The sequence below is a fragment of the Homo sapiens genome, chromosome 15 (assembly GCF_000001405.40).
Source record: "Homo sapiens chromosome 15, GRCh38.p14 Primary Assembly".
Taxonomy (NCBI): Eukaryota; Metazoa; Chordata; class Mammalia; order Primates; family Hominidae; genus Homo; species Homo sapiens.
Window position 1 is genome coordinate 24,528,256 of NC_000015.10, and position 21,607 is coordinate 24,549,862.

General features: G+C 38.4%; 1 long non-coding RNA gene across 1 annotated transcript in view; it reads left to right on the forward strand.

Annotated features, from left to right (window-relative positions):
- LOC105370733 (uncharacterized) overlaps nucleotides 1-14,166 on the forward strand; it is a 440,742-nt gene extending 426,576 nt beyond the window's left edge. The window contains exons 5-7 of the long non-coding RNA XR_007064536.1: nucleotides 5,440-5,697; nucleotides 7,442-7,551; nucleotides 13,325-14,166. This is a non-coding gene — a long non-coding RNA (uncharacterized LOC105370733). The remainder of the gene's footprint in view (nucleotides 1-5,439; nucleotides 5,698-7,441; nucleotides 7,552-13,324) is intronic.
- The last annotated feature ends 7,441 nt before the right edge of the window (nucleotides 14,167-21,607 follow it).

Below are 21,607 nucleotides of genomic sequence, written 5' to 3' on the forward strand. Positions count from 1 at the left end.
GTTTCAAATAAAAAAGTCCTAAAAAATTGTTTCATTCTTCTGTTACATCAGTCCCACATAATTAACTTGTTCTACTTTGTATTGGCTTAGCAATCCTCATGAACACGTCAGCCTGTTTAGAGTCCTGGGAGTTTTGTTGTTGTTATTGTTATTGTTTTCGTTTGTACAATGGCACAATCTCCAAAGTTATCAGAAACCTAAATTCAAGAAAACCTATCAGAGTCATTTTCACCAACTCTTCTAAAGAAGCAAGTTTTGGCCGACTGGTTTTTTATAAACTACTTTTTGAGAATAATCAAAGTAAAACAACAATTGTGAATGAAAAACTCTTAGGACAGTCATAGTTACAGGTATAGCTGATAAGAAATTTGGTTATTTCTGTGTCATACAACAATTTAACATAATAATCATAATTATTACTGATAACATATAGTAAGGCATGTCAGAATTATTGGCATCTCATATGATTTTGGAGCACATGGTAATATTTAGGTAAATAGAACTCAAAAGTTAAATATTTCACCATGCTTCTATATGATTTTAACATGTTAAATGTGGCTAATTTGTCACTGTTGGACTTCAGGTGACCTAATATTCAAAAAGTTAATTAGGTCACTAAGGCTAAATTAAAATTTGATTTGGAAAGTTTGTCAAATATCAAAGGTTTGAAACAGTGTTACAAAATAGAATCACCAATCACGATGAAGTGAATTACTCATTAAGCCAAAAATGATATTTTAAATATTTCTAAAAAGCAAAAATCTTTATTCTTTGATATAGAGAAAGGAGATTCAGTTTCTTAAACAATAAGGTCTAATATCAGGCTGAGTGCACTGGCTTGTGCCTGTAATTCCATTGCTTTGGGAGGCCGACACGGGAAGATCATTTGAGCCCAGGAGTTCAAGACGAGCCTGGGCAATATAGTGAGACTTCGTCTCTACAGAAAATAAATTTGTAAATTATCTGGTTGTATTGGTGTGTGTAGTCCTAGCTACTACAGAGTCTGAGGAAAGAGGATCACATGAACCCATGACATGGAGGTTGCAGTGAGCCAAGATCACACCACTGCACTCCAGCCTGGGTGACAGAGTGAGACCCTGTCTCAAAAAAACAAACAAAAATACCTCGAAAAAATGAAAAACCAGTAAAACCTAATAAATATAGTATGAAACCAAGTGAACCTTACTCCCCTCCTCTTTTTTTGCAGTTTGCCCAAAAGGCAAACAAAAATCTTTTACTCTCTCTTAATATTAAACAAAATCCTGGTTCAAAAAAGAAAACCAACTTTACCTTTGCGTGGCGTGGTATTAATACTAAAGCAATTTTAATAAAATTTATAAATGAATTCATCAAATATCAATCAGTTTAATCATAAGGTATGATTTAAGAAATGCTTGTTAACCTTTTACTATTTTCTACTGAGAAGCAGATAAGTTCTCTGAAAAAATCACATCCAGATTCTGGGCTTGCATAAATGTGCTTTTTAGTGTTCAATTTATAGAAAGACTGAATAATACCCTTTAAATTTCAGCCCACTTGGTCACACACAGTATTTCTTTTGTAAAATCAATCTGCTACAAATCTACAATTCCGTCAAACTTTCAGTTTTATCCCATGATTGTATCTTAGAACAACCAAAAAATTTCTTTCCAACCTTCCTTTACCTTTTTTTTTTGAGACAAGGTCTCCCTCTATCACCTGGGCTGGAATGCAGTGACACACTCATAGCTTACTATAGCTTCAAATTCCTAGCCTCAAGCAGTCCTCCCACCTTAGCCTCTTGAGTAGCTGAGACAACAGGCGCACACTACTGTGCCTGGCTCTTTTTTTTTTTGTAGATATGGTGTCTCACTTTGTTGCCCAGGCTGGTCACAAACTGCTGGCTTCAGGTAGTCCTCCCATTTGGGCCTCCAAAAGTGCTGGGATTACAGGAATGAACCACCACACCAAGCCCCAACTTTCTGTAGCCATTTAGCTTTATCCGTCAGTTTGTCTTCAATTTAAAGACAACTTGAAAACCTCTACAGTAGACAAAATTAGTTTCCCTTTGTAAGGAAAACACATTTCTCATACCTTTCTATAGCATTTTTTTTCTAATAACACATCTCACTTTTATTATATACTTTGGATGCATCTAGTAGATTCAATTATATATGTTAACTGTAATGTTACCTCTCAGTAACTCTTACTTGTATTGAAAAACTCTAGGAAGTAAGAAATTTTACTTACGTGTCAGGTGCAGAGCCAGGGACAAAAGACACAGCTGCCAATAACATCTGACCCTTCCCAATGTAGTCAGAGGGCACAGCTGGGCTAGGGAGAACACTATATGTCCCCTGAACTTACTATGGCTGTAAGAAAGACAAATCAAACAATTATTTAAAATATCACAGAGCAGTTTATGGCCCTAAAACATCCAGCAAAAACAGTATCTGAGTTGCCTGACCAGTTCAGACCAAATATCTAAGTTAAATTCTGAAGACATTTCTATTTTATTTTACCAATTTTTTTGTTTTAGGTTTGGGGTACATTTGCAGGTTTGTAATACAGGAAAATTGTGGTCACAGAGTTTTGATGTACAATTTTGGAACACACACTAACACATGTATGTACATTGAACCCAAAGAAAGTTAAATATTTGACCATGCCCTTTAATCAAGGGTATGTCTTATGAATTTCAAGCAATGCTAAGAGATTTTACTGTACAGAGCCAGAATTCTCAAGGATAGTCATGACGCTATTGTAAGTCATTTGTAAAATTTCATATTCTAATGTATTATTAAGAATATGAGATCTCTAAAATCTTTTTTATGTATCTCCAGTCAAAACTTTGTAGAGGAGACAGACATAGATTTTTGCCAAAACAGGAAGTAAAAGTGATTGCACAATTTACATAAGTTGAGATCTTTGAACCTAAGAATTTGTAACTGGCTAAGAAGAAAGCTAGACTCAAAGCCACCAAATCCAATTTAAAAACCCCCAGCCAGCTCCTTACTTGGAGATGCTGGCCCAAGTGCAAGACTGCGCTCTGCCTCCTCAGAAGCAGCAAACTCCCAGAGAGGGAGTTCTACAAGAGAACATACCTCAGACCTCAAACAAAAAGTTTGGGAGATCAGGGATCTGTGTAGGGGGAGGCTCCCAGACCTCAGCAAATCATCCAATCAGTCAGAGCAATACAAAGCTTCCAGTTGGCTGTACCAGGGCCCTGCTAGGAGAGTTGCTGCAGGCCAAAGGGCGAAACTCTGCACAGAACTCATTGTGGTTTCCAAAATATAAACTGAAAAGTGACTGAGGCAGGTCTCAGTAAATTTAGAGCTAGATCTTGCCAACGTTGAGAAAGTGCATGGGAAAAAGCAACACAAATTACAGCAGGATCTGTGATCTGCTTTTTCCAAAGCAAGGTTTGATGACTTCAGCATTTAAAGGGGAAAAAGTGAGCAGTAGGGGAAGGGGGAAAAAAGCAGAGAGGGCTAGGCACTGAGGCAAGCGTTTGCATTCTCGTGAGGCTTTGATTAGCACTCACTGAAACCACATTTGATATGTGCAAATAGAGGAGTGGGGGATAAAGTTGATTATGCATTCATCTCATGTTTGCTGGATCTACACTTTGCATAAGATAAAGTAACCATGTATAATTACAGCTATCTATTTGGGAAAAAAAGGAAGTCAGTTTTAGTGTGACACAGTTCCTAAGCCTAACTTTCCCATTGGTCATAGAGATTTAGTGTCCTGAGATTTTATTTTCCTTTCAAAGCTGCCATTAGTCTACACATTTTGTGTATGAGTGCATTAAGTTGTCACAGCATCTCAAGAGGTAGACACTACTGTGACCCTCTGAAAGTTCTAGCTCTGAATCTGAGCTAAAGCCCTATAGGAAAAGACTTAGAACAACCTTGAGCTTGACCCAGTGTTCCTACTCATATCAACTATGTTAGAATAGCATTTCTCTCTTAGAGTAAACACTTTGTAGGTGCTTTTTAAGAATTCCTCACCTACCCTATTGTAATGAAATTATTTTCCTATATTAAATTCTAAATACTCCATTGAATTCTTTTTTCTATGGAGGTCTATAATCCACTTGAAGTTGATTTTGTGCATGAGTTTAAAAGTAAATTTTATTTCTCTCGATGGACATTCAGTATACTGAAATGTTTATTGAAAATTCATCTTTTTCCAGCCTGGTGCGGTGGCTCACGCCTGTAATCCCAGCACTTTGGGAGGCCGAGGCGGCAGATCACGAGGTCAGGAGATTGAGACCATCCTGGCTAACATGGTGAAACCTCATCTCTACTAAAAATACAAAAAATTAGCCAGACATGGTGGCAGGCACCTGTAGTCCCAGCTACTTGGGAGGCTGAGGCAGGAGAATGGCGTGAACCTGGGAGGCGGAGCTTGCAGTGAGCCAAGATTGCGCCACTGCTCTCCAGTCTGGGTGACAGAGTGAGACTCCGTCTCAAAAAAAAAAAAAAAGAAAATTCACCTTTTTCCATTACTTTTTCTTTTGGATTATTTGTTTATATAGACATCTATCAGATTTTCAACTCTTTTTATTTTTATGGATTCTTCTTTATTATCATTAATTTTTTGAGACAGAGTCTCGCTCTGTCACCCAGGCTGGAGTGCCATGTTGTGATCTCGGCTCACTGCAACCTCTGCCTCACGGGTTCAAGCAATTGTCCTGCCTCAGCCTCCTGAGTGGCTGGGACTACAGGCACACGTCCCCACACCTGGCTATTTTATTTTGTTTTATTTTTAGTAGAGATGGGGTTTCACCATGTTGGTCAGGCTGGTCTCAAACTCCTGACCATCCGCCTTGGCCTCCCAATGTGCTGGGATTACAGGTGTGAGCCACCGTGCCCGGCCTATTGATTCTTCTGTCTGTGTTCAAATATTACATGTTCTTATTTTTTGGAGAGTTCATTTTACACTAGACATTTCCCTGCAGAGACTGTTCTCTTCATCACTGTGCTACTGAAGACAGGGAAGGATAAAACCTTGCATGTCTTGCACTTACATGAATATTCCCAGCTGTACTTCGAAAAAACAGCAGGTCATAGAACCTGTGGAGACAAAATGACCCATCTTGGATGCTAGTCCACCATGTTACTTCTGATTTGCCCCAGTTCCATGAATGCCTTCTGATCTCTCATTTATTTACTGTCCTTAGTGTAAAATCATGTCAACCAGTGTGTTACCACAAAAATTACATGCTATGAGGCATGTAGCCTCCTTGTCCATTCTGGAGGGTTGCTTTTAATTGCCTTGCTAAAGCATGTATACCTTTTCCCTGTGGAGTATTAACCCTGGGTCTGGAGAGTAACAGTGTGAACAACTGCCTACCTGCAACCATCCAAGGGTATGGTTCTGTGTGTAAGTTCCATCTATAAATTAACCAGTACTGACTAAATGGATTTTCTGCCTTCTTCTTTAATTTTTCAGATCCTTTGGCATTTGAGAGTTGCTTTGTGTATACGGTCCTTTAACGGAGCAAATGGCCAGCCAGGAAACCAAAGTATGGACAAGGGGAAAGAAGCGTCTGTGGAGGAAGTTTTACAAGCGCCCTCCTCATCCATTTGGGTGGTGTTGCCCATATGCTACATGTCTGTGGACCACTATGTGTGTTTAAAGCTTTTTAGTAAAACGTTACTAAAAACTATGACTCACTGTGGTGAAAAAGGTGGCAAAACAGTGACAACAGTGAGTTTGCTGCTGTTATTATCTATGTGAGTGGTCACGAAAGCACAGGTAGCAGCTGAGGCAAGGGGAGGGAAGCTAGGAAAAGAATCGCAGTGAGAAAGGGATGAGAACTTCCATGTCTGTGTTAATGTCTGGTTTTATGATAAACTTGAAACTCAAGAGGCACAGTTGGAAATTGTACCTTGCCACTTTGTGTGGCTGAGAGAGAGAAAGCTGTGCCAGCTGAATGTGTGGACTGTCTTTGCCAGTGCAGGCTGGGATGCAAATACCTGTAATTCTTGGGAAACAACCAGTGAGCCAGATGATGACATAGAGTTTAACTCAGAGGAGGAAGATCATTATCCTTCCCATTTGAGAGTGAAACTGTTCATGCAGTGGAAAGCAAAATTCCAACACACAGAGGCCTGGGTAGGATTACTGGATATAATAAAAACTTTAAAACAGCTGCCAAGAGAAAGCCTTATGTACATGAATGGTGCAGCTATGGGACACCAGTAGGGATGATATCTCCCTAAAAGGGAATGAACCTGAAAAATTGAGACAGAAGTACCCCGGAAGTGAAATAACCCCCTTATGGGATAAGTTATAGGGAAAGCCATTTCAGATTTCCTAGAAACTCAAAAGGAAAGAGATTAGGTATGACTGGTTGCTAAAGGAAAATGGAAAAAGGGAGAAACAAAGTCTGCTGGACTGAAAAAAGGAGTTTAAAAAAGACACAATTAAGGTTACTAGGAAACAAATGTGGTATGATCTGATTTCAGCTGGGATTGACAAAGAGAATATAGATGGGCAACCCAGTGGCATATTAGTGGGGTATGGAAAGACCTGACTCCTGATCAATAGTTTAGACACCTTCTTATTACCTCCCCCACCCCCCATGAGAAGAGGGAGAAAGACAGGAAGAAACCTTTGGTAAAAATTCAGGGGTGCACTTCTTTCCAGCCTGGAGATCATAGGTAGGGTCAAGGCTGCTTCTGTGTAAGAGCAATAGGGGGTGACCAGAGGCCGTATTTGGAGCTCACTATTGATTGGAGTCTAAAACAGCACTAAGAGAACCTTAGCTTTAGTGGGCACAGGTGCAGAATGTGTCTTAATTGATGGAAATCCAGAGAGACACCCTGGTAAGTGGGAAGCTATAGATGGTTGTGAGGGGTTAAAAATCTGAGAGAAACAAACTCCTCTCCTCCTTAGTTTTGTCTGGAGTTCCCTCTTTGCTTACTCTCCTGTCTTTATCTCACCTATTGCAGAAAACATCTTGAATATGGATGTCTTCTTAGGATGCACTTTACAAACATCTGTGGGGGAATCTCACCTATGACAAAGGCTGTATTAAGATTGGAGGCAAAATTAGAAGGTGTACACCTCCCTCCCCCACAATGTATTGTTAATGTGAGACAATACCATCTTCCTGGTAGAATATAAGAAGTCACAGCCGCCATGGAGAAATTGGCCAAAGTTAATATTATCTGGCCAGCCCAGAGTCCTTTCAGCCATCCTGTGTGACCAATAATAAAATCTGATGGCACTTGGATATGACAGTAGATAAGTGGACACTACTGATCTTTCTAAGATACATGCTCCTTTATGTAATGTAACTCAAGTGATTGAGCAATTAATACAAAACATAGGCACTTATCATGCTGTGTTAGATTTAGCTAATGCCTTCTTTAGCATCCCTTTTACCCTGACTTGCAGTCATTATATTGATGATACTCTAACTTCTGAAGACTTGTCATTGCTACAGCAACACGGAGATGCATTGACACCCTTCTTCAATCCAGAGGATGGGCCATCAACTCACAAAAGTACAAGGCCTGGAACCAGCTGCAAAGTTCCTATGGATCACTTGGCCAGGTAAGACACCTTACTTCAGGCTTGGTCATTGAGAAAATATAAGTTTTCCATACCTAAAACAGTTAAACAGTTACAAAGTTTCCTAGGTCTTTTGGGATACCAGTGGGCTTTCATTCCATGTTTACCTCCATGTTTGCATCCCCTATACTGACTATTAAAGAAGCAATCTCAGCTGGGCACAGTAGCTCACACCTGTAATCCCAGCACTTTGGGAGACCGTGGCAGGCAGATCACTTGAGGCCAGGAGTTCAAGACCAGCATGGGCAACGTGGTGAAACCTCATCTCTACTAAAAATACAAGAAATTAGCCAGGCATGGTGATGCATACCTGTAATCCCAGTTACTTGTGTGGCTGAGGCATGAGAGTTGCTTGAACCTGGGAGGTGGAGTATTTAGTAAGCTGAGATCGTGCCACTGCACTCCAACTTGGGCGAAAGAGCTAGAAACCCTGTCTCAAAAAAACAAAAACAGATCTAGGATAAAGAACTAAAGAACAAGTGGTAGCATTTGAGAAGGCTAAAATATTGATTGCTCAGGCACAAGCTCTAGTTCCCCGCTTCTGGGATACCAGTGTCTTTTGATATGACTGTAAACCCTGAAGGGACAAAACAGGTCCTCTGGCACGTTCAGCATGGGAAAGCAGTTCTTCTAAGATTCTGGTCACAGCTATGGAAATGTGCTGAAACCCACAGTTCTCCAATTGAACAACAGGTTCTGGGAGCATGTAAGGCCATGCAGCACATTGAGCCTGTAACTGATCATCTGCCAGTAACAATGAGAACAGATCTCTCCATTAAGGGCTGGATAGAAGGGTTGTTTTCCAGGCCTATATCAGCTATTTCTCAAGTCTCCATTATACAGAAGTGGCATGCATACCTGCAACAATGTAGCACCCGCTCCACGAGTCCTTTGGGAGATGCATGCTATCATAGGGCCAAGACACTATGAGACCAGTGCTGCGCCTGTTGTGGAGCCCCTGCAGGAGATGCCTCCAGTAATATACGAAGGCACATCTCCATTCCTGAAAATGCTTGGCACTTAGATGGATGAAGCTGAGGTAACCCTTGTGTATAGATGACAGTAACTGTACAGTTGCAGACAAATACTATCTGACAGACAGTGTTGAGGTTTCCAACTATAATAATGAGTTAATCTCTTTCTCTTTGCAGTTGTGTCAGTTTTGGCCTTACATAGTTTGACATTCTGTTGTTAGGCACTTAAATGCTTTAAGGATTATTATGTTGTACTGGAGAACTGACCCCTTCATCTTTGTGTAATGCCCGTCTTTATTTTTAGTGACTTTCCTTGCTTGAAGACTGCTCTGTCTGTAATTCATGCAGCGACCCTTCCTTTATTTGATAAGTGTTGGCCTAGGCTATTTTGTTTCATCTATTTACTTTAAATGTATACATGTCTTTATATTTCATAGATTTTACTTAACATCATTTAGTTGGGTTGACTTTATTGATCTACGCTGACATTCTCAGTTCTTTGATTGATGCTTTTAGACTACTGACAACCAATGGAGTTGGATTAATATCAACCATATGTGTTACTCTTTTTGATTTGTTGCCCTTGTTCTTTCTTCCCGTTATTGTGCTTCACTTATTTTCTGTGTTTTGTGGTTTTATTTGAGAATTTTATGCAATTCTGTTTTCTCTCCATTCTTAGCATATCAATTATATAACTTTTTTTGACTATTTTAGTGGTTGCCCTATGGAATAAAACTTTTATTTTTCATATTCTTAATTTAGTCTCACAGATAATGGTTTCTGGAAAATAATAGTAGCACCAATCTATTTGATTAGGCATGCTTATGTCTATATGTTATATGTATATAAATATACATGTATATGTGCATGTGTACTCACGTATAAGTGAAACGAATGACAGCACTAATAGGGAGAACAAAAGAGTTAAGATTATTTTGTTATTCTAAGATAGTCACACTACCTGTGAGTGATACAGTGTTTTTTCAAAAAACACTTTTTGAAAAAAAGTGGATTCATTTTAAATGTAATATTGCAAACTCTGGGTAAGGGTGTTGGACCAAGGGCCTGAGTTCTTTGCTGGCTTTGGCCTGTTTCTGAATTTAGTTTCCTCCCATGTTGGCTTCTCCCATATGGCAAATGTTCCATCAAAGCCATCAAGGGAGGCACTTTGCTAGCAAGACAAGAATCACAATCTAATGTAACATAATCGTCCTACTAATGACCCATCACCATTGTAGTATTCTGTTGATTTTAAGCAACTCACAGTTTCTGACTACATTCATTAGAAGGAATTAAAATACAAAGTTATTTATCAACTTCACTTATACTTAGAGGTGGGAGTCATTGGGTGCCATCTTAGGTTCTAACTGCCATATCTGATCTTCTCCACTATGAAATAGTTTTTCAGTCTTCACTTATTTTCTGTTACCTTGACCCTTCTGACAAGGACTGGTCAGTTCTATTGTAAAATTTCCCACAGTATGAATTTGTCAGATGTCTTCTCATAATTAGACTAGGGATATGGATTAAATTCAATATTTTCAATATTTATATTTATTTAAGTTTAAAGATAAAAGACAAAACAATATAGTGTTTATATATACAAACATACAGGAAAAATGAATATAAGAAAATTAGAGACTGACAGAGATAATCCATAATGATAGTTACCTTCAGCTGTTAACATAGATGAAATTCAGGAGATACATTCAGGGGGCATCAATGATATTGTTAATGTTCTTTCTGTTGTATAAGCTCAGCAAAGGCTTAAAATAAAATAAACTTTTGAACTTTACGAATAGTTTTAGATTTACAGAGCAGTTCCAAATATAATATAGAGTTTCCACAGACTCCATACACCATGTTCCTTAATAACCCCCTTACATTGGTGTGGGATATTAGTCACAATGAACCAACCAATATTACACTATTATTAACCATCTGCACTTTATTCAGATTGACTTAGTCGTCATTTAATGTCGAGTTTCTGTTCCAGGATCCTATCCAGGATACCTCATTACATTTACAATTCATGCTCCTTAATCGACTTTGACTGTGACAATTTCTCCAAGTTTGCATGATTGCTATGACATTGGCATTCCTAATTTGGGATTTCTTTGGTGTTTCTTTCCTGATTAGACTGGATTGTAGGTTTCAGGGAGGAAGACCACAGAGGGAAAGTGCCATTCTCATCACATCCTGTTAAGGGTACAGACTGTAACAGCTTTATCACTTTTGATGTTAATTTAATCACCTGAATGAGATAGTTCCAATCAAATTTCTGTACTGTGAAATTACTGTTTTTTTTCTTCTCCTTTCCATGTTGTATGTTTCAAAAAGAAGTCACTACACACAACACACAAATAAGAAGTGAAGAATTATGTTCCACTTCCTAGGGGCAGAGTGTCTGCAAAAATTATTTGGAATTAATCACAATGAACAAATGCCTATTCTTCTTCAATTGTTCCATATTATTCCATCATTGTTCTACCCATAGACAAATATGGGTACTTATTTTACACTTCACTTGAAATAATTTATTTGGCTTGTTGCTCAAATTGCTTCAGTATTGTCCAAGAAACTTTCTTTTTCTCTTTTATTTTTGAGATGAAGTCTTGCTCTGTCACCCAGGCTGGAGTGCAGAGGCGCGATCTCGACTCAGTGCAACCTCTGCTTCCTGGGTTCATGCCATTCTCCTGCCTCAGCCTCCTGAGTAGCTGGGACTACAGGCGCCCACCACCATGCCCGGCTAATTTTTTGTATTTTTAGTAGCGACAAGGTTTCACCATATTATCCAGGATGGTCTCGATCTCCTGAGCTCATGATTCGCTCGCCTTGGCCTCGCAAAGTGCTGGGATTACAGGCGTGAGCCACCGCTCCGGGCTGGGACTTTCTTTCAGTTGGATCGTCTATAATTTTGAAATCTCCCCATACTTATGGTTTGTTGGTGTGGTGTGCTGTTTGGTTTGTTGCATTGTTGGTTGTTATTTTCTTTTCTTCTGGCACTACTAGGTGCTGCAGGCTGATTGTGTTTATTCTCTGTCTAACCCTATTATCCACCGTTTCTTCACAATGCCCTAGTTCCTTTGAATGGAAAATGGAATTAGAAATGAAGATCTAGAGACTGTGGTATATTCATTGCCCCTAGGGCATCTGATGACTTGAGGCCTTGTCAGCTGACTGAACAAAAGAATACACATGTGTTTACTGACTTACAAATATATACATGTGTATAAATATTTCAACATGTATGCGTATGTATCAATATTAAACTAGCCATGAATTCCATGTAATGTTTCTGGCAGCACATGATCTAATCCAGTACCACATGAAGCTATGTACCTGTTCCAACTCGCTTGTATGTAGCTTGCGCCTCTAACATGGAACTAGTTGGCTTTGTTAATAACTTAATGATATCATCCAAAAATACATGCATAGTGTTTTCAAAAGTGTTAATTTATACACCCCTGGGAAACTACTTTGCCAACTAAAACTCAGTCCTTATATACAAATTATTTGTCCTTTTGACTTAGAATCTCAGAATCTCCCTCTATTTCCTAATTTACTTAGGTCAGCCCCCTTTTCTCACTCTAGTGAGCTTATTTCACACATTTGTTATACAGTTATAATATTTAGTCAATCTCTATCAACTAAATAAGGCGTTTGGTTTGTTTGTTTGTTTGTTTGGATGCAGTCTCGCTCTCTTGCCCAGGTTAGAGTTCAGTGGTGTGATCTTGGCTTACCTCAACCTCTGCCTCCCAGGTTCAAGGACTTCTCTTGCCTCAGCCTCCCAAGTGGCTGGGATTATAGGTATGTGCCACCATGCGTGGCTAATTTTTGTGTTTTGTATTTTTAGTAGAGGCAGGGTTTTTCCATGTTGGCCAGGCTGGTCTTGAACTCCTGTCTTCAAGTGATCCCCTCCACCTCAGCCTCCCGAAGTGTTGGGATTACAGGCGTGAGCCATGGCGCCTGGCCTAAATAAGGTTTTTATTTTACCATCTGTGTGTTATGAAGTTCTGTAGGTCTTGAATAACAGTGTCACATATTCAGTGTCACGTTGTCATATAGAACAATTTCAAAGCCCCAGAGGCATTTCTTGTACTTTACTGATTCAAATTTTCTGTGGTCCAATCCCTTCATACTCACTGAATACTTTACTGTCTCTGTACTTTTTTCTTTTTCAGAGTGTTATATAAATGGCATCAGATAGTATTTTGCCTTTTCCAACTCATTTTATTTAGTTATCAAAATGCCGTTTAGGTTTGTAAAGTATATCTTATGGTTGTTTAGATTTGCATTTCTTGAATAACAAAAAAATTGAGCATATTCTCATGTGTTTATTGGACAAGACTACAACTATTTTTGGAAAAATGACTCTTCAAATTATTTGCCATTTTTGATTAAGATGTTTGCCTTTTTATTTTCGAGAAGTAAGACTTTTTATCTATTCTGGATAACAGACCCTAATTAGCTATGAGATTTTTAAAGATTTTCTCTCATTCTTTGGTGTTGCCTTTTTACTTTTAACCATGTACTTTGAGTCACACAATACTGTTTTGTAATGAGTTCAATATGTCTGTTTTTTAATTTTAATACTTGATTTCTGATGAAGTTCTTTATGTCTTTTTAAAATTATGTTCATTTGCTTTAGGTGTCATAGCTTAGAAACCATTGTTTAACCCAAGGCTACTGTATTAGTCTGTTCTCCCATTGGTATACAGAAATACTGAGACTGGGTAATTTATAAAGAAAAGAGGCTTAATTGGCTCATGGTTCTGCAGGCTGTACAGGAAGCATAGTGACTTCTGCTTCTGGGAAGACCTCAGGAAATTTCCAATCATGGTGGAAGGCAAAGGGGGAGCCAGCACTTCACACAGCCAGAGCAGGATGAAGAGAGGGGCTGGAGTGCTACGCACTTTTAAGCAACCAGATCTTGTGAGAACTCACTCACTATCAGGAGAACAACACCAGTGGTGCTAAAACCATTCATGAAAATCACCCTCAGGAGCCAATCACCTCCCACCAGATCCCACGGCAAACACTGCAGATTACAATTTGACATGAGATTTGGTGGGGACAAAGATCCAATTTATTTCAGCGATGAAAATGTATTCTTATGTTCTCTTCTATGGATTTGGTCAATTTGGCTCCTATATTTAGATGCATTATTAATTTGAGTCAATCATGCATATGGTGCTAGGGAGGCAATAACTTGCATGTCAGTGTCCATTTGTCCCAGCAACACTGTGTGAGGAAATATTTCTTTATATTGAATTGACTTGTCAACCTTGTAAAATTGTTTTACCATGCATGTAAGAATTAATTTTCGACATTTGATTTTATTCCATTGATATATATGTCTCTCTATCGGGAGAAATTCAGCCAGATAGCAGGCGAAATTCCACCCCGATATTTCACGTAGGTTCTTTTCTAGATTCCCTGAGTGTCAGCCAGTCTGAGAAATAAAGGGACAGAGTACAAAAGAGATAAATTTTAAAGCTGGGTGTCCGGGGGAGACATCACGTGTCGGCACCTTCCGTGATGCCCCCCGAGCCGTAAAACCAGCAAGTTTTTATTAGTGATTTTCAAAAGGGGAGGGAGTGTACCAATAGGGTGTGGGTCACAGAGATCACGTGCTTCACAAGGTAATAGAATATCACAAGGCAAATGGAGGCAGGGCGAGATCACAGGACCACAGGACTGGGGCAAAATTAAAATTGCTGATGAAGTTATAGGCACGCATTCTCATTGATAACATCTTATCAGGAGACAGGGTTTGAGAGCAGACAACCAGTCTGTCCAAAATTTATTAGGCGGGAATTTCCTCATCCTAATAAGCCTAGGAGCGCTATGGGAGACTAGGGCTTATTTCATCCCTACAGCTTTGACCATAAAAGATGGCTGCCCCCGAAGCGGCCATTTTAGAGGCCTACACTCAGGATCGCATTCTCTTTCTCAGGGATGTTCCTTGCTGAGAAAGAATTCAGTGATATTTCTCCCATTTGCTTTTGAAAGAAGAGAAATATGGCTCTGTTCCATCCGGCTCACTGGTGGTCAGAGTTTAAGGTTATCTCTCTTGTTCCCTGAACATTGCTGTTATCCTGTTCTTTTTTCAAGGTGCCCAGATTTCATATTGTTCAAACACACATGCTCTACAAACACTTTGTGCAGTTAACGCAATCATCACAGGGTCCTGAGGCGACACACATCCTCCTCAGCTTATGAAGATGATAGGATTAAGAGATTAAAGTAAAGACAGGCATAGGAAATCACAAGGGCATTGATTGGGGAAGTGATAAGTGTCCATGAAATCTTCACAATTTATGTTCAGAGATTGCAGTAAAGACAGGAGTAAGAAATTATAAAAGTCTGAAATTGGGGAACTAGTAATTGTCTGTGAAATCTTCACAATCCACGTTCTTCTGCCATGGCTTCAGCCGGTCCCTCGGTTCGGGGTCCCTGACTTCCCGCAACCTCTCTCCTTCTCACATAGTAGATAAACACACACAGGGTACATGATATGTTTTGGTACAGGCATGTAATGTGAAATAAGCACACATCATGGAGAATTGGACAACTATCTCTATGAGCATTTATCCTTTGAGTTACAAACAATTCAATTATGCTTTTTAAGTTTTGTAAAAATATGCAATTATTATTGACTTTCATAGTTACCCTGTTACGCTATCAGTTTGTTTTATTCATTCTTTCTATTTGTTTTGTAACCATTAAACATCCCTACCTTCCCCCAGCCCCCTGCTACCATTCCCAGCCTCTGTTAACCATCCTTCTACTCTCTATGTCCATGAGTTCAACTGTTTTGATTTTTAGAACCCACAAATAAGTGACAACATGTGATATTTGTCTTTCTGTGCCTGGTTTATTTCACTGAAGATAGTAATCTCCAGTTTTATCCTTGTTGTTGCAAATGACTGGGTCTCTTTATTTTTTCTGGCTTAATAGTACTCCACTGTTTATATACACCATATGTTCTTTATCCAATCATCTGTTGATGGACACTTAAGATTGCTTCCAAATCTTAGCTATTGTAAACAGTGCTGCAACAAGCATAGGAGTGCAGATATCTCGTTGATATACTGATTTCCTTTCTTTGGGGTATATATATGCAGCAGCCTACTGCTGGGTATATTTGGTAGCTCAATTTTAGTTTTCTGAGGAACCTCCAAACTGTTCTCCATAGTGGTTGTGCTAATTTACATTCCCACCAACTGTGTACAAGGGTTGCTTTTCTCCACATCCTCACCAGCATTTGTTATTACCTGTCCTTTGGATAAAAGCTATTTTACCTGGGGTGAGATGATATCTCATTGTAGTTTTGATTGGCATTTCTCTGATGATTAATGATTTTGAGCACCTTTTCATATGCTTGTTTGCCATTTGTATGTCTTTTGAGAAACATTTATTCCAATATTTTGTCCTTTTTTGGTTGGATTATTTGACTTTTTTCCTATAGGGTTGTTTGAGCTGCCTATATATTCTAGTTATTAATCCATCAGATGGGTAGTTTGCAGATATTTTTTCCCATTCTGTGGGTTGTTGCTTCACTTTGTTGATTATATCCTATGCTGTGCAGGAGCTTTTAACTTGATATGATCTCATTTGCCCATTTTTGCATTGGTTGCTTGTGGGATATTGCTCAAGAAATTTTCTCCTAGACCAACATACTGGAGAGTTTCCTTAATGTTTTCTTATAGTAGTTTCATAGTCGGAGGTCTTCAATGTAAGTCTTTAATCCATTTTGATTTGATTTTTTGCATACAGTGAGAGACAGAGTTCTAGTTTCATTCTTCTGCATGTGGATAACCAGTTTTCCCTGCACCATTTATTTAAGAGACTGGCTTTTTCCCCAGTTTACGTTCTTGGCAACTCTGTCGAAAATGACATAACTGTAGCGTTGTGGATTTGTTCCTTGGTTTTCTATTCTGTTCCATAGGTCTATATGGGTATTTTTATTCCAATACCATGCTGTTTCATTTACTATAGGTCTCTAGTATAATTGGAAGTCAGGTAATGTAATTCCTCTAGTTTTGTTCTTTCTGCTTAGGATAGCTATGGCTATTCTGGTTATTTTGTTGTTCCATATCCTTAACACAATTTTGATTACTATTGCTTTTGTAGTATGTTTTGAAATCAGAAAGTAGCATTTTACTACACAAACTTTGTTCTTTTTCAAAATTATTTTGTCTGTTCTGGAATTCTATTTCATTATATATGAATTTTAGAGTAAAATTGCCAATTAGGGGAGAAAATGTCACCTAGGATTTAGCTAGGGATTGCATTAGATATATTTGGAAAGTATCAGCAACCTAATGATACTAAGCTTTCTAATCAGTGAAAGCTCAATGTATTTAATTTATAATTGTATTAATATCTTTGATATGTTTTGTAGTCCTCAGTATATGTATCTTATACTTATTTTATCAAATTAATTCATAGGTATTTAACTTTTATGCCATTTTACATGAAATGGTTTTTGAAATTTTGTTTTTAGATTGTTAATTGCTAATAAATAAAAATATAGTTGTTTTTGTATATTGACCTGTACTAAGCTGTACTACAAGCTTGCTTATCCCTTTTTTCATATTTTGTTATGTTTTATTAGAGTTTTTATGATGTCTATAGGCAGGATCATGTCATTTGGAGACATAATTTGACTTTCCTTCCAATCGGACTGCGTTATGTTTATTTTCTACACCAATTATGTTGGGGACATCCTCCAATACAGTGGTGACTAAAACTGTGAAAGTGATATCCTTCTCTTGTTTCTAATTTTACAAGAAAGTGTTTGAGCTTCCAGAACTTTTAGGATGTCATGTGAGGTTTTCTGTGCTTTCATGATGGGGAAATTTTTCTTATTTGCCTAACTTGTTGCATGATTTTATAAGGAATGAAATTTCAATTTAGCAAGTGCTTATTGCTCATCTTTTAAGATGACCATGTGTATTATGTCCCTTATCTCTTAATATAGTTTATGGCACTAATTCTTTTTCTATGTTGAACCAAATTTGCATTTGTAAGATGTATACCTTCGTCAAAATTTATAAATTTTTACATGTCTGTTATTTGTTTTAATAGTATTTCCTTTAATTTTTGTGTTTATGTTCATAAGTCATATTGATCATAGTTTTTCTTCAGTAACTTTGTCTAACTGTGGTATAAGGCTGATAATTCACATTGAAAAGTGATCTATTCTTCATGTTGCTCTTACTGTTTTTATGTGAAAGGTCTAAATTTATTTAGCAGAAATAGAATGGAACACATGAAAAGGAGAAAAAATGTACATTTTTTCAAGATAATTTTCAGACTTTGCAAACAATTATATTGTATAAGTGAATAAAACCAAATCAGAGTAATAAAGATATGTAATTGGGCTACATAGATGGAGATTTACAATACACTGGAAACGGAGAGAGAAAGGTGGGTGATAAATTACTCTTTTTAATATGATTTTATTGTTTTGCATATTTCTTTCTTTAAATACACTACCTACAAGTATAGACAAAGATGAAAATATGGGTTGACAAACAGGTGCTCATTATTTAGAAGAAATATAAGATTTAAATTCTGGTATTTCATTAAGGTCAATTTAGTTTGTATGCTTAGGAGACCTAACATGTAGACATTTGAAGTGACACATTTTGTGAGCCTTCATAAATATCTATAAAAAATAGAAAATCAGAGTTTTTAAAAACTTAAAAGTTGAACAAAACAAGGATTTAAATATTATTATTAAAGTTGTTACCTATTCCCAGATGAGGACTTAGAAAAACAAACAGTTGGCAAACCAGTGCAGCAGGTGACTTCCGTGAAGCCAGAGGCACACCCTGGGGACTGCGGTGTTGCTGGAGCCGACACTGCTGTGCTGCACATGTGGCTGCCACCAGTTTCCTCCCTCTCTGGGAAGTGGAATTTGAATTGCAGGTGATGATGGCTGATGAACGGAGGGACAAGACCACATTATCTCAAAATGCTTGGCTCTGTTGCTTGCTCCTCATTTCACTGCTAGGTGCCACAGGCTTGGGGTTTACTGTTTATTTTTTGAAAAATATATGATAAATTGGTATTAATTATTTGAAGATGTGAAATCATTTACTGGTGATGTCTTCTTGACCAAGTCAGAATTTTTTTTTTTTTCACAGACATGGTCTCACTCTGCATCCAGGCTGGAGCACAGTGGCATGATTATAGCTCACTGCAGACTTGTACTCCTGGGGTCAAGCAATCCTTTTGCCTCAGCCTCTTGAGCAGCTGGGGCCACAGGCACATGCCACCATGTCTGGCTAGTCTTTTTTCTTCTTTTCTTTTCTTCCTTCTTTTTTTTTTTTTGTGTGGTAGAAACAGGTTCTAACTATGTTGCCCAAGCTGGTCCTGAACCGCTAGCCTCAAATAATCCTCCTGCCTGAACCTACCAAAGCATTGGTATTACAAGTTTGACCCACCGTGATCTGTCCAGAGTGGGAAATAGAATCTTAACAACTATCACATGAACTTTGAGGGTATCCTTCTCCAGATGAGCCTTCAGTTGAGACCTCAGCCTTGGACATCATCTGCACCTGGATTCCTGACCCAGAGCAACTGTAAGTAATGTGTGTGTGATTTTGAGCCACCACACTATGTGGCAATTTGTTGTGCAGCAACTGATAACTAATACAAAAGATAGCACATTTAATTTCTAATACTACCCTGGATTAGATTCTAGAACAGAAAAATGGCATTACTAGAAAACCTGGTAAACTCAGAAGAAAGTCTGTAGTTCAGTTAATAATTTTAAGCCACTGTAAGTTTATTAGTTTTCATAAATACATTATGGGTATATAAATAAGATGTTAACATTCTAGTAAACTCCTGGGTATGTAAAACTAGCTGTACTATGTTTGCATCTTTATGTATATCTAAAATTATTTTAAAATGAAATCTTTGATTTTTTATTTTTAATTAAAAAAGACAGGCATGCATATGTTATCCCAGCTTCTGGGGAGGCTGACTTGGGAGGATTGCTTGAGCCCAGGAGTTCCAAACTGAAGTGAGCCATGATTGTGTCACTGCACTCCAGCTTGGGAAACAGAGGGAGACCAAGACTCAAAAAAAAAAACTGGCCTCAGAAGGTGAATGGACATATAGAAAAAAAATAGCCAAGCAGATTTCCGCATAAATTTACCCTTCCATACATACATCCATCTACTTCAGGAAGCCACTATCAAACTCAAGGAACTCTTGTCCATATTTGACCTCCCCATCACACTCTTTATTACCAAGTAACTCGTTTGAGTGTCAGTAACCTCTCTGTTTTCAGAGATATTTGCCTATGCCTCACATACCCCAGAAAGGCCCATTTCCAGATATCATTTAGGAACATATCTACAGGATCCCACTGAACATATTTTGGCAAACAAAGTTTCTGGATACCAAAGACCAAGATTGAGGAATGTTAGTGACAAGAAATATAAATTATATTTTCATATTATGGTTTTTTTAATATAGGCTTAGTTTTCTAAAGATAATTCTGCCTTCAAGCCTTGTTGGAATTCTGTGATAATTTCTTTTCACACCATATTCTCCATCAGGAATTTTATGGAACCTTGTATTCTGTTGAATACCAGAATTATATCAGCAATCCCAAAGTCACCAAATGGGCATCATCATGACAGCAGGTGAGCGGAATACAAAAGATATATATATATATATGGTGGTTGGTGGTTTTGGCAGTTTCTACTTATCTGGACCTGGACAAAAAAATCTTTTCACACCAGATTTTTGGCAGGTGAGATTCAAAATAGGTTTTGCACAGGCATGGAAAACCTGATAGAGGCAAAACAAGAGGCCAGGTGTGGTGGCTTATGCCTGTAATGCCAGCACATTGGAAAGCCAAAGTGGGTGGATTGCTTGAGTCCAGGAGTTCAAGACCAGCCTGGGGAACATGGAGAATTGTTTCTCTACAAAAAAATAGAAAAATTAGCTGAGTATAATGGCACACACCCATGGTTCCAGTTACTCAGGAGGCTGAGGCAGGTGGTTGGATTGAGCCCAAGAGGTCAAGGCTGCAGTGAGCCATGAGTGTGTGACTGCACTGCAGCCTGAGCAATAAAGTCAGACCCAAGAAAGAAAGAGAGAGAGAGAGAGAGAAAGAGAAAGAGAAAAGAGGGAAAGAAGGAAAGAGGGAAAAAACGGAAGGAAGGATAAGAAGGAAGAAAATACAACATATCCCCAACCCTCCAGCAGTGATCTAAGAGATAGACAGAGGCTGAGTAGTGATTCTGCATATGTGCTGGCTAAACAAAGAATCCCACAGCAGGAAGGACTCTCCACTCACCGCACACACAACTTCCTGTTCAACACGCTGCTGGACAGCACCAGGGTTGTTTCCAGGGACCATGCCTAAAAACCCACAAAGACATCAGACTTCATTCTGCACACCCATGGCCATGTATAATGTTGACTTGTTTTTTGGTCTCTAAACATGAGGTCTATTGTCCACACCACGGTAATAGTGACAGTCAGAAAATGAGCTCTTGTGACCTAGAAAGTTGGAAGAGACATTCAGCTTCATGGATGTCATTTCTCATTCTTAGATGAGGATAACTGTTACGTGGTGTTATTTGAGCATTTGTGATTGAAGAAAACTAACTTCTTTAAGCCCATACTTTATTACTTGAGACATGACAGCTTCATTTAAGGTTCCTATTTTAAAACATGGTGAGTGTTTCCATTTATTTCATTTGAACTGGAGATACTATCTCACTTACGTAACTTGTCAAATCCCTTTTTATCTTCATTTCAATGCATGTTTTCTAATCTATCATGATGAAGAGTGTGAAGATTGTGCTTCACCAAACCAGGAAGCAATTAAAAAAAAACTAGAATGGCAAGCCATAAGTTAGATATAAGTAGATGCATGTAAGGTGTAACCCATCTCAATGTGGCATATCAGGGAGATGGAGACTGGAGAGATGAGGTTTAAAAGAAAACAGGCACTAAATTCAAAGCTGTGCTAAATGATGTCACAGGCACAGATGACATCGTGTGGTGCTCCAAGTTCCCAAACA